Below are 16,278 nucleotides of genomic sequence, written 5' to 3' on the forward strand. Positions count from 1 at the left end.
GTTTTTTATATCAGTGGAACTCTAAGTTTCTTTCTATGGGTTCACAAAAAACTACAAACAGAACCTTTGTATGACATACCTAAAGAAGTCAGATTCAAGATATGCTTACATTTATTCTGACAATTGACATGGGAACAAATCTCTTAAATTATTCAACTTTCCAGTAGAAATAATCCCCACTTGGCTTTTCTGAAGACCTTGAGCTCCAATATAATTCAAACACGTTTAATTAAAGAAGAAAAACACAAAGTAGGTTTTATCTTTGCATGAGTGTGTGATAGAGAAAAATATATGTTTTATAAAACTAAATTTATAATCAAAGTGATAACTTTTACTTGCCCTTGAAGAATATTTTTAATAAAATTCAGCTTTGTTTTGTAAATAATGTAGTGCTTGCCTGTGGTTGGGTTAAGTATGCAGAAATTTTTTCCTGGAGAACGAGAGGATATTACCTGCAGACCTTTGCTATTACCAAGAACAAAAAAAATGTCTACATATTATCCATATGGAGGACTGTGCTTGGTAATAAAATCAGTAAATTACAATAAATGCCAACGAGCCTATTCTAGTCCAGGGCTATTTGTTATAACAAAGTCTCTACTCAGACTCTGAGCACAATATATATTAAAGGACTTCTCTGCTCACAGTGCTTATATATTTTTTCTTCTTCATCTTGATGTTTGCTCCTGGTTTGGAGAGCTCAGAGTAAACTTATTTTCTGTTCCTAATCAAAAAGAAAAAGAAGAGAAAAACAATTCTGTAGTTAGTGATCATGACTGTCCACCTGGCAGTGGAATCATGAGTGAATATAAAATCTCAGAAGGTGGGCTGAGGACCAGCAGGAGAGGACCAGTTTCTTGGAGAGCAATCAGGCACCTTAACACATGGGTAACCTGAGGGAGAAGCTCATATAAAATTTGGTCTGACTTTTCCCAGAGTGCTTTTACCTCAGATGTTTACTCCAAGGTCCCCAAATCCAGAGAAATAAGGATCAAGAGAAAAAGATCAAGTTTTAAAAATGTCTTTTCTGTAATAAAGGGAAGAGAAGGTCCCAGGGATGCTTTGCTTGAAATCAAGGAAACAATGAGCATGGGAATTGCCATCAGCGTATTCACTGGACACGCCTTAAATCTGTTAGAGGTCAGAGAGCTTTACCTAAGCAAGTAGGTTCTGGCTGAGGATGCTTTTTGTAATCACTTCCAGGGAGTAACAGTGTACTTTTTGAGCCTTAGAAACCAGGATCTTTCACGGGCATGAAAGGTGCACAGGAGTATTATTTTCAGCACATAAGGATTTTGTGTGTGGTGGGGAGGGGTGGTGGTAGTTACAATATTCTTTCACTTCTCAGGACAGCTCTTGGATTTTGCTGTCCCTCAGTTACTGCTGACATATGCTTGGTGAATATAAAAGGCCCTAGAGACTGGGCATGGCAGCACACGCCTGTAATCCCAGCACTTTGGGAGGCCGATGCGGGCGGATCACGAGGTCAGGAGTTCAAGACCAGCCTGGCCACATAGTGAAACCCTGTCTCGACTAAAAATACAAAAATTAGCCGGGCTTGGAGGCGCACGCCTCTAGTCCCACCTACTCCGGAGGCTGAGGTAAGAGAATCGCTTGAACCCAGGAGACAGAGGTTGCAGTGAGCGGAGATTATACCACTGTACTCCAGCCTGGCGACAGAGCAAGACTCCATCTCAGGAAAAAAAAAAAAAAAAAAAAAAGAAGAAAAGAAAAAGAAAAAGCCCTAGAACTGTCTTTGCCAATTAGAGATGTTCGCAAAGAAGTAGCAGCTCCGTGTGTTTTCTCTGTCCAGCTGCCTCTTACAGTATGTTTCTCAAAACAGCTTCCTAAGCTGGAGTATGGGCCTTTTAAGCTAATGCAATTTGTCTTCTTTGGCCTTTTAGTAGAACTTCTTCTGCTCCAAAATTAAATTGATCTTCTTAAATAGGGCAGAATGGGGAGCAAGGATGGCTTCTGCTTATCAAGGGATTAGACAAGCACAGGTCCTGCTTTTATCACTCGGACATTATCTTGGCTTTTCTACATTCAGTTAGCTCCACAGTTTTGTTCCTTGGGCAACAAAGATGAAGAGGACCTATTAAATTGCCAAATATGTCCACTCTAAATGTAGCAGAAACAGCTACATTATGTAGCTGTGCTAATTTGGCTTTTTATTGTGTAGGAAGTAAGCTGATCCCCTTGTTTCCTATAGCAGCCCAAATTTTCTGTATTGATGCATGCACATGGAGACCTCCTTTGAACTTGGTTTTGAACTTTGGGACTGTTGGCCTTTTTATATGGAATTGTGCATCACTTAATATTTTTATTTTTATGTGTTTTGCCAGGATTTTCATGCTATGAACTACATCAGACAAGGTGTATCCTCGTGGCAGAAGAAGGAAATAAAACAAAATAATGAATCCAGTTGAAGTACCGTTTTAGAGATACGATTTATTTTTCATTTTTCATGCATGAATTTTGTGTAGCCTTCTTCTTAGTAACACCAGCTTTACTGATGCCCTGATCCAAAGGTGTTTATGTAAATCTCTCGTATCCAAACCACAGAATTCCCACCATCATGTGTAAATAGAAGGCACTAGATAAGCAGGTTGTCAGCAATACCACCAGGCCAGAAACTCTGCTCCTTGTGAGAATTTTCTACCAAAAGAACTTGAAAGTATCTCAATAAGCCATAAAAGGTTGAAGTTTATTTAATCATGCTAGCTCTGTAAATATTTCTAAATCTTCCATTACTTAAGGGCTATATTTATACTAATATGTATCAGATCAATGCCAAATTTATCTCCAGCAGTAAAATGTTAAAATAACCTTTAAAAAACTATTTTTTAAAAAACAAAAAAGGTGACCATAAAGATTGGCACATTCATATCCTTTCTAAAGTGAAAGTAAAGGACAAATTCAGTTTTTTATTTTAGTCATGGAACACCCGGGGGAAAAAGAGAACAAGCAAACTATGCCACACTTAGGGGTATTTGAACAATTGTAGTTTAACATTTCTAGTTTTTAGTTAAATTTAGTTAAAATGGTAAATTTTATATCTATCTTACCAAAATAAAAATACATAAATCAGAAAAAAATTTAATTAGAAAATAAATTTCTTATTTTTTAAGTCATATTGCACCATGCGAGTGCCCCGAACAACCTTGAAACCCTGACAAGAGACACAGCAGGGACAAAAAATGCAGTCAAAGGGCTCTCCAGCTCCATCCACAGCATAACCCAGCTCTTGCCAAGATTGACAAGATCTTGACAAGAAGAGTCTACTCTTCCTCAGTAAGTGGAATGTTTATCACTGATCAAGCAGTCTTGTGATTCAAATAAACCCTTTCCTTCTCGACACTCATTTAGTTGTGGTGCCACCGCCTCTTCCTGGAGCTATTGGGACTTTCAAGTTTAGGGAGGATGTGTCATTCATCTAAATGGATTCTCTCTTTTGTCAGTCAAGAGAAGCATTTACCGGAGTGTCTTTCCTGGAAATACAAGGTCTGAGGGATGTTCATAGCTGCCCATTAAGTGAGGTCAGTGAGGAGTCCAGTGGTCAAATAAACTTAGGAAATGCTGAGTTACACAAAATAGGTTCCTTTGTTACAAGAATCATTAATAGATGTTAACTCATGACTTTTCAGGAAAGGAATATTCAGAATTTTCTTGGGAGTCTGAGGCAGGAGGATCACCTGAGGCCAGGAGTTTAAGACCAGCCTGGGCAATATAGCGAGATTCTGATGCTACAAAAAAAAATCTTTAAAAATTAGCTAGGTGTGATGGTGTGCACCTGTAGTCCTAGCTTCTTAGGAGGCTGAAGTAGGATGATTACTTGACTCCAGAAGTTCAAGCCTGCAGAGAGGTATGATTCCACCACTGCACTCCAGCCTGGGCAACAGAACAAGACCCTGTCTCTAAAAACAAAAACAAAAGAATTTTCCAAGAAAATTTTCCGGTAGAGCTTTCCCAGGATAAAGCATTCCATGAATATACTTTTGGGAAAGCATTGGTCTAGAAAACACATGAGGGGGGCAATGCCTTGAAGTGTTATAACCAAAATAGCATTACTGCAATTTCTGACTACAATTTGTACTAAAAAGGGACAGAGGGTGTGAGATTCAACTGCAATTAGTAGTGGTAACTTTTGCTCTTATGAATAACTTGTAGACAATCAACGGGTTTTGCTCTTTCACTCACTACTCACTTAAGAATTGGTAACACATGCAGGATTACTGAAGACTGGGACAAGTGGAGTTCTGTGTGTTGTATCTCGGTATTTCTGTTAGGCATGTTGGTAATGGTGGCAATGGCCACGATGGAAGTGGTAGTGGGTGAGTAGGGGTGGAAATAAAGGTTGAACTTCTGAACGTAATAGTCATGTGGAAGTCAATATAAATGGCAAAACAAAGGTTTAGATGATTGGAATAAGGGAAAATAGTGGTATGTTTATTTCTACTTGTCAGGGTATTAACACTCATACTGAAATGGTTTCCATGTTTAGAAGTTTCAAAAGGACAAGATAAATATATGTCCATGTGTTCATTTCTGTACATCTTAAAGTGCCTACAATGTTTCTTTTTTTGATTTTTTATTTTTCATATATATAGGTACATAGTAGGTACATATGGAGTATATGAGATACTTTGATATAGGCATATAATGCATAATAATTACATCATGGTAAGTGGGGTATCCATCCTCTCAGGCATTTATCCTTTGTGTTATAAACAATTCAATTATATTATTTCAGTTATTTTAAAATGTACAATTAAATTATTATTGACAATTGTCACCCTGTTGTGCTAACAAATACTAAGGTCTTATTCATTCTTTCTATTTTTTTGTACCCATTAACCATCCCACTTTCCCCCTACCCTACCCACTACCCTTCTCAGCCTCTGGTAACCGTCTTTCTACTCGCTATCTCCATGAGTTCAAATGTTTTAATTTTGAGCTTCCACAAACAAGTGAGAACATGCAAAGTTTGTCTTTCTGTGCCATGATTATTTCACTTAACATAATGACCTCCAGTTCCATCCATGTTGTTGCAAATGACTCGTCAGAAGTTTGGTTATCCCACGTCATGCTAGTGTAACACCCCATTTTATCAGCAAAGATGAAAAGCTAGAATTACCATTAAACTTGTCTTCAAAAATAAGCTAAAAGTTTTTTAACTCAAAATTTAGTAAACTGTTTTGAATGTGGTGATAAAGCTGGGTTTGCCTTTTTATGTATAAGTGTTTATGTCACATCTCAATAATTACTCTAGAATTCCTAATAACAGTACAAGCTAAATAAGTTTGAAAATCATATAATCTATTGCTATAATTTGGTATAAACTAAAAATGGTGAAATTCAATCAAGGAGTGAATGCTTTGAAAGCTGTACCATTTTTGCACCAGGAAATTCCCTAAGAAAATAAAAAGTAATCAAGGAGGTCGGGCATTGTGGCTCACGCCTGTAATCCCAGCACTTCGGGAGGCCGAGGCAGGCGGATCACAAGGTCAGGAGATCGAGACCATCGTGGCTAACACGGTGAAACCCTGTCTCTACTAAAAATACAAAAAATTAGCCGGGCATGGTGGCGGGCGCCTGTAGTCCCAGCTACTTGGGAGGCTGAGGCAGGACAACGGCGTGAACCCAGGAGGCAGAGCTTGCAATGAGCCCAGAACACGCCACTGCACCCCAGCCTGGGCGACAGAGCAAGGCTCTGTCTCAGAAAAAATAAAATAAAATAAATAATCAAGGAATTGGGGAATATGAGTACTAGTTATTGATATATTAGTTTTTAGAAACATATGATGCTTATTATTTTACTCTACTATTTTTAAGTTTTTATGGGCACATTTTTTAAAATCATTGCTATATCTCATATGTACTACTTTGGGATCAGAACACAAAAAAGCTGGAAAAATTCCTTTAAATTACTTTTTGGCTTCCTGGGCCATGTAGCATCATTAAAATCCTATTTCAGGACTCACGTGAATGTCTTTTTTTTTTTTTTTTTTAGACAATCCTTTCTAAAGAAACCACCCTTAATGACCTAGCTACAAATGCCATTTCACTTTAATGGGAGATTTCCTTCAGCTGTGGTTTTAACATTATGAAAATTTTGACTCCAAATGAAAATGATAGCAGAGATTCTCTCATATTTCATTAGCCAAATCCTGAGCAAGAGAATGATACTGGGGACTTTCCTTTTGAGTCACATATTATTTTTAATTGGTATGTATGAATTAAATAAAGAAAAATATTTTATATTTATACATAACCAATAAATAAAAAAATCTAATTCCATTTTGGTAAAATCAAATGTAACACATTGTTGACACTAATGACAATGTTTTACACTTGTAGAGTACTTTGTAGATTTCTGAGTGGCAGTTATTACTTCAGTAGAAACTCACAATTCGTCCGCTAAATAAAAAGGGACAAAGAGGCAATGAAAGCCTTGAAGGTTCAATGACTTGTCCAGGGTCACATAGCAAATTACTTTCAGAGGTGGGGTTACCGCCCCACTTTACCATCTGCTCCTCCACATGCAGAGTGCCTGTTTCTCTGTGGTACAGACAGTGTAACTCAATCTAGTAGATTAAAATAGTAATGACAGCTACCATGTGAATAAAACTTTCCAGTTTATAGGGTTCTTCCACATAAATTATTTAATTCATCTTTCTAACAACATTTTGAGGTTAGTATTATTGTGACCATTCCCATTTAAATAAAACAACTGAGATTTGACAATATCAAATGACTTTGGCCTTGGCTGTAGAAGACTCGGGTCTTTGAATCCTAGTTGCTTGTCTCTAAGCTGCTCAAGTAACTCTCAAATGCAGAAATTTATATTTAATTTTATGATGATGTCTTTTTGTCTCTTTGGGAAAAAGCATCTTCCTAACTACAGTCATGCCCCAATAACAACCTCTCCATCAACCACAGACCACATGTACAACAGTGGTCCCATAGGATTATAATGGAGCTGAAAAATTACTATTGCTTAGTGATATCATAGCTATCCTTATGTGGGCATAGTGCAAGGCGTTACTCACGTGTTTGTGGTGATGCTGGTGTAAACAAACCTACTGCGCTGTCAGTCATATAAATGTCTAGCACATACAACTATGTATAGTACATAAGACTTGATAATAAATGTCTGTTACATAGTTATATATTTACCATTTTATAATAGTTATCAATATTTTAGTGCACACCTTCTACTTATAAAAAAAATGTAAAACAGCTTCAGGCAGGTCCTGCACGAGGTATTTCAGAAGGCATTGTTGTCATAGAAGATGACAGCTCCATGTGTGTTATTGCCCCTAAACCTTCCAGTGGGATAAAGTATGGAGGTGAAAGACAATGATATTGATGATCCCAATTCTGTGTAGGCCTAGGCTAATGTGTGCTTTTGTCTTAGTTTTTATAAAAAAGTTGAAAGAGTAATACAAAATTTTAAATACAGAAAAACTTTTAGAATAGGGATATAAAGAAAGAAAAATATTTTTGTATAACTATACAGTGTGTTTGTGTTTTAAGCTAAGTTCCATTGCTAGAGTCAAAAAGTTTTAAAAATTCCAAGTTTACAAAGTCAAAAAGTTACAGTAAACTAAGGTTAATTTATTATTGAAGAAGAAATTTTTTATATAAATTTAGTGTAGCCAAAGTGTACAGTGTTTATAAAGCCTACAGTAGTGTACAACAGCATTCTAGGCCTTCACATTCATTCACCACTCACTCACTCACCAGAGCAACTTCCAGTCCTGCAAGCTCCATTCATGGTAAGTGCCCTATATAGGCATATCATATTTTATTTTTTATACTGAATTTTTACTGTAACTTTTCTATGTTTAGATTTAGAAATATTTACCAGTGTGTTACAACAGCCTGTAGTATTCAGTACAGTAACATGCTGTACAAGTTTGTAGCCTAGGAGCGATAGGCTCTACCATATATCCTAGGTGTGGAGTAGCCTATACTATCTAGGTTTGTGTAAGTACAGTCTATGATGTTTGCACAAAAATGAAATTGCCTAAGCTGCATTTCTTGGTGCTTATCATTAATTGATGCATTATTGTATATATTTCTTATGGAGACAATAAAGTTAGTGCACATTTCCTAAGCCAGCATCCCTCAGTAACAGAGAGAGGTGACCTAGAAAACAGCAGAGATCATCACATTTAGATGACTCTGAGCTTTAGTACTCTTCCTTAAGATATATCTGCTGTTAAAGTACAGCAATGAGCCAAAGGCAGAAAGAGAGACATTTTCAACATGATTTTCACTTAATTAATGGTATTACTTATTTAATAATAATAATAATATTACTTATTTAATAATCAATTTTGTTTATTTCTCAGTGGGCAGCTAACTTTTTTAAATTTGCATCTTTTTTTGGCAGGGGAGGGGATGGAGTCTCACTCTGTTGCCCAGGCTGGAGTGCAGTGGCATGATCTCAGGTCACTGCAACCTCCGCCTCCCATGTTCAAGTGATCCTCCTGCCTCAGCCCTCCTAGTAGCTGGGATTACAGGCATGCGCCACCATGCCCAGCTAAATGTTGTGTTTTTAGTAGAGACAGGGTTTTGCCATGTTGGCCAGGCTGGTCTTGAACTCCTGACCTCAGGTGATCCACCCACCTTGGCCTCCCAAAGTGCTGGGACTACAGGCGTGAGCCACCGCGCCCAGTCTAAATTTGTATCTTTAAAAACCATTGTCCTTTATATAATTTATATCTGAAAAGTTATGAAAGACTTGTAGAGAATTGATGTAATACAAATGATTCTTGTCTACAGCAATGTAGATTGTTTTCAGAAGAATGCAATTGATTATTGCCCTGTAAATATTGACCAGTTTTATTTCTATTTGGAAATTCATCTCAGCATTCCTCTGAATTCTCCTTTTTCATAATTACAATATTGTACTGTTTCTCTCATTAATGGGTTAAATGAAATCTTTAATATATGTTTAGTTTATATTTGCATGACAATCATGATTTTACCTTTTAAAAAATCCTGTAATCCTGGAATGTAATATTTATTCTAAAACCCAGGTTTGCTCATTAGATATGATGAGATTAGACTAGACTAGAGCATTCTTGTAAGTACTATCAGTATTCTTATATTACGAATATAAGAAACTAGGCTGAGCGCAGTGGCTCATGCCTGTAATCCCAGCACTTTAGGAGGCTGAGGCGGGGGATCACAAGGTCAGGAGATCGAGACTCATCCTGGCTAACACGGTGAAACCCCATCTCTACTAAAAAAAAAATTCAAAAAATTAGCTGGGTGTGGTGGCTGGCACCTGTAGTCCCAGCTACTTGGGAGGCTGAGGCAAGAGAATGGCATGAACCCAGGAGGCGGAGCTTGCAGTGAGCCAAGGTCACGCCACTGCACTCCAGCCTGGACAACAAAGTGAGACTCCATCTCAAAAAAAAAAAAAAAAAAAAGTAAAAAAGAAACTAAGAATTAATGTAAGTGTCATGGTGTGATTTTTGTGTCTTCCCCCAAAATACATATTCCAACTGCCAAGATGATGATATTAGGAGTGGGGCCTGTGGGAGGTGATTAGGTCACAAGGGCAGAGCCCACATGAATAGGATTAGTGTCCTTATAAAAGAGGCCTTATCCCTTCCACCATGTGAGGTCACAGCAAGGCGACACTATCTATAAGCCAGAAGGCAGGCCCTCACCAGACACTGACCTGCCTTGATCTTGGACTTCCCAGCTTCCAGAACTGTAAGATATAAACTTCTCTTCTTTACAAGCTACTCTGTTTGTGGTGCCCTGTTATAGCAGCTGAAACAGACTAAGACAATAAGAATATAAAGTAAGTAAGATAGAGAGATGAGCAAGTTTCCAAAGCCCAGCGTCAAATCATAAACACAAGCATCACATTCTACTGCCTCTACTCCCCATGCCTACCTCAGAGCTGGGATACTGCCAAGAGTTCTTTATTAATGATCTAGGCTACGACAGAAATGTGCGGCTTTGTCCAGCCTAAAAACTCTAAAGACATGGTTCTACCAGAACATGCCATTCCCACAGGAACATCTGAGATCACTGAGAATAAATTTTATTTGGAGCCTTGAAACTATAAGCCTGGCCAGCTTTGGGCCTTTTTGTAGCAACAGACCACACTGATCCTGATATGACACAAACACATTAAGCTTCTCTCATGACCCTTTCACGGAAACTTGAAGTGAATCCATTAAGATTCTATGCAGGACAGTTACAGTGTGAGAGACTGGTAAGAAACAGCTCTCCACAATGGCATCCTCAATTTACATTAATTACCGCTGATTTTGCTTGGAGACAAAAGTGTAAAAATATTATGGTTTCTGAAAGTAAGCAAGATTAGCATGAACTTTGTATGGATGAGCATAAGTCTCTAAAGGATCAGAATATTACAATAGAATATTTAGATTTGGTCTTGGGTGAAATATTTGTTGATGTGTACTACTGAAACTAAAGATAAAAACAACTTCTCATATATGCCATACCTCCCCTTCCTTGATACTATCCTCAGTGATATTATAAATATTGTTAGAATAAGCTTTACAAGCAATACTCATTAAAATATGTGCAATATTATTTTGATAATAGCACATATTGAATGTGTTTTACTCTGATTCTTTAGAAAATTAAATTTTAAGAAATTAAGGAACAATAAGAAATGTAATAATTTTTAGTAGCAATTATTTTTGAAATACATTCAAATATATCCCATGCTGGCCCTGGTTGTTACTGCTGTTAGGGTTTCTGGTCTCTCTGCTTCTCTCTTTCTTCACAACCCCTAAGCCATCTTTAACCACACTTGGCCATCTCGTTAATGTGTGTAGTGTCACCCTAGACTTTTTCACATCCTGAAAAATAATTTCAAGCAATTATTTTTGAAATACAATTATTTTTGAAATATACCAGCTGTACCAACTTTCATTTCACTTTTATCATATCAGGACTGCAGTTCAAACCTTTCCTACTTTCTAACTGAAGCTCCACAGAATCCATAGTGCCAAGCCCAGTAAGTTAAGGAAAAGCTTTTCAGAGAGCCACTGCATCATGTTGTCATGCCAGCACTCCAGTTAGAACTCTGAGAATGACAAGTTCTACATCCTCATCTTAGAGTAAAATGTAACTGTGCCCCAAAGACCCACTCATCTCCAGCATATCTCCAGCCTTCCTTTCTCTCATTGTACTCCCTGTCCATTATATCCCACTCAGCTTTAAATGTGCCCAACACATACTCATCCCTTTCCTGATTCCTGTGCCTCCATAAATCCAGGGCCTTAATGCCTCCTCCCCAGCATGGTTATACCATCGACCTCTTCATCACTGAGACTTCTTCTAATACCCAAAGCTTGAAATGTGCCCCTTTTACCTGAACCTCTTTCCTTTACCATTTTTCCTATTCTTCCACCCTCTCACTCTTGCTGACCTTGATCTTTGGAGGGATTATGATCAAGAACTGAAGCTGCTCAACTCTTCTCTGTACTCACCACCCTCTTCTCAGACCTTAACCCTGCATTCCACTCCTTGACTTTAAATGGCAGGGTTTCTCCACTTCCACTCCCTCGTTCATGCTGGCCCTGGTTGTTACTATTGTTAGGGTTTCTGGTCTCTCTGCTTCTCACTTTCTTCACAATCCCTAAGCCATCTTTAACCACACTCGGCCATCTCATTAATGTGTGTAGTGTCACCCTAGACTTTTTCACATGCTGATTCTTCTTGTAACTGTTTGACCAGGCCCCAACCCTAGGTAACCCCACTGCCTGCTTTCAGCTTTTGCTAGGCCTTCACGTAGGGCTCCACGGTTTCAAGAATATGACAAACTTGAGATAAATGGCAACACTTAGAAAACTTTAAGGAAAACATGATGAAAAAATTAAAATTTTTCTTCTGTGAATAAATACTTTCTTTCCTCATCGTGCCCCTTTGCTACCTTTCTCTATGCCCCATACACACTCAGCAGCAGATGACGTCATTCAGAACTTTTACTAAGAATAAAGAGTTCGGTTGGGCATGGTGGCTCACACCTGTAATCCCAGCACTTTAGGAGGCCGAGGCGGGTGGATCACCTGAGGCCAGGCGTTCGAGACCAGCCTGGCCAACATGGCGAAACCCTGTCTCTACTAAAAATACAAAAATTAGCCAGGCGTGATAGCGGGGGCCTGTAGTCCCAGCAACTCCAGAGGCTGAGGCAGGAGAATCACTTGAACCTGGAAGGCAGAGGTTGCAGTGAGCCGAGATGGAGCCACTGCACTCCAGCCTGAGAGATGGCGCGAGACTCTGTCTCATAAAAAAAGAAAAAAAAAAAGAGAGAGAGAATACAGAGTTCATCTAAAGTGAATTCCTAAGGGCCTTCTCTTGGGCTTCAGCCCTCTTGTTTTCCTCAAAAATGAAGGGTTTGACACTGTTGAATCTCTTGCCATTCCCATTCCTCCTATTCTCCTACTTTTTTACTCCTACGGACTCTGACCCTCACTTTTTTGAAAGTCTCTTATTCTGTGCTGATGTGGTCACGTAGTTTGTTCCTTCTGTATCTGATAACACTCCTCCTCTAAATTTAGGAGGTCAGAGATATTCATTGATTACCCATTGTCTACACATATATTGTCCAAACTTTTTAGCATTCAGGACTTTTCATAATCCAGTTACTTTTCACCATTATCTTCTACACTCTTATGCTGTGCAGCCTCCAGATAAAATAATTACTTGTCCATGCATGGGAAATACAATGCTACCAAAATACATTTTATGGTGTTAAGAAATAACCAGTATTTTTTGTGTTCCGCAGAGTCATGGCTTCCTGAGCAAAAACTACCAGCAACTTGGGTTAACAACAAGTTGATCAACAGCCACGCCTTGGAAGTTGGAGACAGTGAATTACTCCTGAGAGATTTACAGGTTTATTTGCCTCTGGGTTTCTTTATTTACAGTTCAAATGGTAATAAATTCCTGAGCCTAACATTTATATTTTAAAGAGCTATAACATCTAGGACCTTTTGCTTTTTTTCCAACAGAGGATTTCTTTGCATTAAAAACATAAGGTTTCCCTCCTTCCCCCTAAAAAGGAGGGAGCACCTGAACCAACATTTGAATAGGTTGTATAGGAACCAGCAGTTCCTATATAAGCACTTGCATTCACAATTTGGGAGTTCTTCCATATTGTATTCTCCTTCTACACCTCTGTACATCCAGGGTGACATCTGCTCCCATAGAATCACCCAAAGGGGAAACGGGGGACTGGAAAACCAACACCAAGATATCCTATAAGTAAACAATCAGCGTGTCTCTGACCCAGAAATCTTGTATTTGTTCTCAGGAGAAAATAAGTAACCTTACATATTAGAAACTTATCAAACGGAATTGTTCCAAAGAAATTCATTTAAATGCTTTGTATAAGGTGAGAATGAGAATTCTTTCACTTCATGTAGAACGTGTTTTTATTCAGGACTTTTTCAGTTCATTTAGAATATGTTTATGCTTAGCTTTTTATATAAAACTGAGTTATCTATAAAATGGTGGTGAAAGTACTTTCCCACTTTCTCAACATTTGGGAGTTATTTGTATATAAACGGATTGTTAATTATTGAAATGACATTGCAAGTGACTCTCTATCCCCCTCCTCGCCAGATCATCTATTCAACTTACAATTTCTGTTGAAGTTCTTAACCTGAGAAGGTTGTTAAGAAACCCATAGCATGGAATCTCCTGATTTGGAAGGGAATATCTTTCCCATCATTCTATTTTTTGCCATGATGGCTGCAGGAAACTGTGCAGAGAAGACGGTTCTGCACAGAAGCACTGTGGATACGAGCGACACTGTTAGGACCCTCTTGCTTTTATGTTTATATTCTCTTAGAGAAATTAGAATGTTTGGGGATTTTTATTTTCATTCTCCTTGAGAAACTGGAATGCCATTAATTTATGCCTTTATAAATATTTCTGGAAGAAGCCAGACCGCTTTGCCAATCATCAGAACTGCCATTTATTTCCCATATTGGGGAGTTCATTTTCCCACCCCTTTAGGCTTCTAAGCTTTGCTGGCTGCATTTGCAATCCAGTCCTTTTAAATCCTTATCTTGAGTGATGACTTATAACAGCTCCTAAATCGGGATGTTGGTTGAGGAAGGAATAATTCAGATTAAAAAAATCTGAGAAATAAGGCATCTTGATTAGCAATCAGCCTTACAAACATTATCTTACTTTAGGATCTCAGGCATGAAACTTCAAGTCTGCTTCAAGTTCATTTATTTCTTCAACCTCCTATCTTCAACCAGTCAGGAGTGAGCTGTTCCCTGCCACACAGACTGAATTTTTATATCCAAGACTTTTGAGATGATCAAAATCTTTCCAATCTAAAAGTGTTCTGAAAGAGAAACGTGAACAATTTTAGATTAATAGCAATAAGGAAAAAATAAATAAACAAAGAAGTGCAACACTCCATGAGTTGCCTCTGGAGCCCGCCTGCTGTGCGGGAGCTGCCTGCCCTCAAATCCCTGTCCTCACGTGATGACTCCCCATCCTTTCTTCAGTCACCTTGGGCAGGTCTCTCTACCAACCTCCTGTTTCCACCCCTCAAACAGGGCCCAGTCCTGTGGAAAACCAATTCACAAAGCACTTTCACTTCTCATGTGAACTGAACCACTCAGAGTGGTTGGTAGGATATGTATCATCACTCTTAACTTTCAGAAAAGGAAGTAGACTGGAGAAAGTCACACAGCAGTTCAGTGGGGAGCTGGTATTTTGGATTCTAATCCCAGAGCTCTTTCTCCTCTACCACACTGTCCTGTTGGCCAGTTTTCTGTTTTCTTTCCTCAGGAACTCTGCTATTTACCAGGATACGAACTTAGTTAATTTGTATTACCTCTCAAAGTCAAGGATTGCTCATTTATAAAATCAAAATAATATAAATACCAAACAGCAAAAAAGAACACAAAACTGGCCTGGTTAATTAAGAAAAAAGTAAATACATTGAAATATGTCAGGAGTTGCATTAAATACAAATAGACTGAATGCTTCAATTTAAAAATTAAGATTATTAGTCTGAATTGAAAAGAAGAAACCATCTATGGCCATACCACCCTGAACACAACTGATCTTGTCTGAAAGGAAAAAAAATAAATATTATGTTCCTTATAAGAGATACACCTTATATAAAATACCTTTATTTAAGGTATATCTGCCAACATCTTGGTGTTGGCAGGATTGGTTCTTTTTTGAGGGCTGGGAGAGAAACGTGTTTCAGACCCCTCTCATGGGTTGTGGATGGCTGTCATCTCTTCATAAGCCTCTGTGTCCAAATATTCCCTTCTTATAAAGGCAGCAGGCTTATTGAATTAAGACCCACTCTAATGACCTCATTTTATTTTGATTACCTCTGTGAAAACCCTACATCCAAGTAAGGTCACTTTCTGAGGTACTGAGAATTAAGATTTAAACACATGAATTTGGGGGGATACATAACACTTACTCATTTTTAAATGGAGACATAATTTTTTATAGTAAATTGCATAGATCTTAAATGTACAGTTCAATGAATTTTGAGAAATGCATCAAAACCATGGAAACTACATCCCCATCAAGATAAAGAACATTTCCATCAGCTCAGAAATTTTCCTTGTGCCTCTTTTCAGTGAATTCTTGCTTCCAGTTTCTAAAAACAGCTTCTTATATTAGGTTGGTATAAAAGTGATTACTTTTAGTGGCAAAAACTGCAGTTATGTTTGCACCAACCTAATAGTAAAATGAATCTAAATCAGAACTTAGAAATGTGAATAATCCATGTCCTTCCACTGTGATTGCTTGGCCTTGGGTACGCAATAACCTCTTGAACACTCAGTTTTCATACATGTAAAACTTGTTGACTCGGTGCTCTTTTATCACAGTTCTAAGAACCTGTGCTTGTGATTATGGCTCTAACAATATCAACTCTTAAACCCGAATGTCAACTAAAGAAGCCCAGAGAAGAAACAACAGAAACTTTTCTCTTCAGAGGCAATATTTCCATGTTAATGGTTCCTTCTGGAGACAAGTCCCCCTGCCTTTGTTGTGAAATCTGTTAGTGATTTTTTTTTGGATGGAAATTTTAGGTCAGGTAGGAAGCTGATGGGTTGGTGGGAAGGAGCAATGGTTTTAACATTTGTCAAATTATCATGTACAGACAACCTGTGTCAAGCACAGTGCCGTGTTAGTTTCTTAAGCCCTTACATGAAACTAGAGAGGTAGTGCTTAACCTTCATTTCACAGATTAGGGCCCTGAGGCTCACAGAGGTGATG

General features: G+C 38.2%; 1 pseudogene, besides 2 other annotated features; it reads left to right on the forward strand.

Annotated features, from left to right (window-relative positions):
• LOC100422352 (transmembrane O-mannosyltransferase targeting cadherins 1 pseudogene) overlaps positions 1-16,278 on the forward strand; it is a 65,535-nt pseudogene that overhangs the window by 34,114 nt on the left and 15,143 nt on the right.
• Positions 8,246-8,415: an enhancer, noted in NCBI's record as "experimental_28085 CRE fragment used in MPRA reporter constructs". NCBI's record gives its function as "activates a minimal promoter by MPRAs in K562 erythroleukemia cells, with activity observed for both the introgressed and non-introgressed 12:30650296 or rs77349035 variant alleles {active_cell/tissue: K562}" and the evidence as "EXISTENCE:reporter gene assay evidence [ECO:0000049][PMID:34662402]".
• Position 8,331: a transcriptional cis regulatory region, noted in NCBI's record as "Neanderthal adaptively introgressed variant 12:30650296 (GRCh37/hg19 assembly coordinates) or rs77349035 in the experimental_28085 CRE". NCBI's record gives its function as "modulates activity of the experimental_28085 enhancer by MPRAs in K562 erythroleukemia cells {active_cell/tissue: K562}" and the evidence as "EXISTENCE:reporter gene assay evidence [ECO:0000049][PMID:34662402]".

This window comes from Homo sapiens, chromosome 12 (assembly GCF_000001405.40).
Source record: "Homo sapiens chromosome 12, GRCh38.p14 Primary Assembly".
Classification (NCBI taxonomy): domain Eukaryota; kingdom Metazoa; phylum Chordata; class Mammalia; order Primates; family Hominidae; genus Homo; species Homo sapiens.